General features: G+C 49.1%; 1 annotated feature.

The window, feature by feature from the left end:
* Positions 1,782-2,021: an enhancer, noted in NCBI's record as "active region_10802". NCBI's record gives its function as "activates an Ori minimal core promoter by ATAC-STARR-seq in GM12878 lymphoblastoid cells {active_cell/tissue: GM12878}" and the evidence as "EXISTENCE:reporter gene assay evidence [ECO:0000049][PMID:35858748]".

Genomic DNA, 2,583 nt, shown 5'->3' with positions numbered 1-2,583 from the left:
ACACCCATTTTTTTCGGTGGGGGAAGATAGGGTCTTGCTGTGTCACCCAGGCTGGAGTGCAGTGGCATGATCTCTATGATCTCTGCTCACTGCAACCTCTACCTCCTGGGCTCAAGTGATCTTCCAACCTCAGCCTCCCGAACAGCTGAAACTACAGGTACACACTGCCATGCCTGATGACTTTTTAAAATTTTTTGTAGAGATAGGGTCTTACTGTGTTGATCAGGCTTGTCTGCAACTTCTGGCCTCAAGCAATCCTCCCACCTCAGCCTTCCAAAGTGTCGGGATTACAGGCCTGAGCCACTACACCCTCCTGACCCCCAGTTTTCCTTTGTGGGACCTGCCATCATCCCCACTCTCAGGTCTTGTGGTTTGTGTTGCATTGGCCACACCCCCAGTTCAAAAAGTGAATATAAATTGTCAAGGCCACAAATCAAGGTAATGATACAGCTAAAACTAGAACCCAAACCTCCAACTCTGGCAGTAATTCACTCATTTTTGGACTCTGGTGCGCTCCTACTCTGACCTTGTGCTAGTTCTGGGAATGCAGCGAGGACACTAGATGGAGAGGATTCCATCAGAGTGTTCAGAGCTCAGTCCGATGCTCCCTCCACTGCAGCACCTGTCCCTCCTTCCCTCTCTTTCCAGAAAACCTCCCTCTACCCTCCTCACTATCCTCTTCCCCAAAGCCTCCCCAAACTTCCTCAAACCTTGCTGACTCTTTCTTTTCTCTGAACCTTTTCTGCCACAGTCCCCAGCATGTGAACAGACACAGGTCAGGCAAGTCGCCCAAAGACATGACCAGCCAGGGCTGAGAGTACCAAGGCCTGAAAGAGGAGGGACCAGAGGATGCTATGGGGTGGCGCCTCTTCTCGGTGCCCACAGATCCCACTGAAGCTGGAGCTGCTTGCCTCACAGACGGTGCATGGCACTCCACCAGCTGTCTCCTTCTCACCAAGCTCGGGAGTCCCTGGCTGACCCCTCCATCCACCCTGCCTCTGACCAGGTCATAGCATCTGGCTCCCCACCTCCAGGGAAGGAAAACAGAAAGTACTGGGAAGTGACAGGGCCCTAAACCACTTGGATGGAAATAGAGTCATTGGGAGCAACGGGGAGAAGGACTGGGCCAAGAAGCTGATTGCATTGCTCCTGGCAACCACACGTCCCAGCAGGTCAGTCAATACTGCAGTGCCCACTGGGATGCGGTTTCCTGAAGCTCGCAAAAGAAATCTATATTTTTCTCAGGAGCACCAACCCTCCTCAAGGCAGCACACGTTCGTCCCCTCCTATCTGCGGGCAGCAGAAAGGGACAAAGAAACCAAGGCCAGAAGGTGGCTGAGGCTGTCTCTAGACTAACAGCTTTAGAAGGGAATATGGCATTTTACGTACACACTTGCCCTTTCCTTCACCCTCCATGCCAATACCTCTCATCCCCACAATTGCAAAGGACTCCAAATTGAGATGTGATTTTTCAGTTCCTCTCTTTTTTAATCCACCCTAATAATAGGAGCTAATATTGATTGGGCCCTTACTACATGTTAGACTGTCTATAAAATTCTTCACATGTATTAAATTTTTAATCCTCGGAAAACCCAGCCCTGTGGGGTAGATATTAACTTCCATTCCCATTTTTGTGGCTGAGGAATCTGAAGCACAGAGCAGTTAATTAACTTGCTCAATGTCACATAGCTTGTTGGCAGTAGAAGCAGACAGCCCAGGCCAGGCTATCACACCCCTCCAAGGGCAAGGTATTTGGAACTGGACCAGTCAAGCTCAAAATTTCAGCACTAGCCCTTGCTAGCTCTGTGATTTGGACAAGCTACCCAACCTCTCTGAACCTCATTTCTTCATCTGTAATGCGAACATGATAACGACAGTCTTGTAAGTTTACCGGGTAATTCCCCGGGTATTACAGGGTAATTCCAAGGTTTCATTAGATGACTCACCACACTTTCCATCCCCACCACCCATCCTACTCTGCGCTCTAGCAATACCAAATTGTCTTCTTTTTGCTCACATGTGCCTCTGCATATCTCTGCTCCCTTTGGAAGTGTTCTCTTATCTACCTACCAAGAGGAGCTTGTCTGGCCAGCTCCTCTCCTGTCAGATCTCAGCTGGATGCTGTCACCTCTGAGAAGCCTCCCTGACTTCCTAACTCTGCACTGTCTTTCAGTGTTCTCTCAAACCCCAGCACATCCCTACCACAGCGCTCATCACACTCGACTTGAACTGTCCAAGCACAGGTCCATCTCCCCTACTGGGCCATGAGCTCCGCAAGGGCAACAGCACCGAGCGCATCCCATTCTGAATCCACAGTGTCTAGTAAGTGCCTGGAATAAAGATTGGTAAATATTTGTTGCAAAAATAACTAAATTGAAATTTCTTATTATTTATGCTAATATGCCTGCTTAGTCCCTCCTAGTATATGACAAGCCTCCTGAAGGCAACAACTGTATCTTACTCTTTGTCACTGAATTCCCCACCATTTCTGGCACAGAAAAGCAGAGCTGGGGCTAGGGTGAGGTAAGTGAAGTGCTGGGGTAAAAAATTGTAAGGAGGCACAACTCTCAGCTTCACGCAAGT

This window comes from Homo sapiens, chromosome 16 (assembly GCF_000001405.40).
Source record: "Homo sapiens chromosome 16, GRCh38.p14 Primary Assembly".
Taxonomy (NCBI): Eukaryota; Metazoa; Chordata; class Mammalia; order Primates; family Hominidae; genus Homo; species Homo sapiens.
This window is presented reverse-complemented; position numbering and strand designations above follow the sequence as displayed.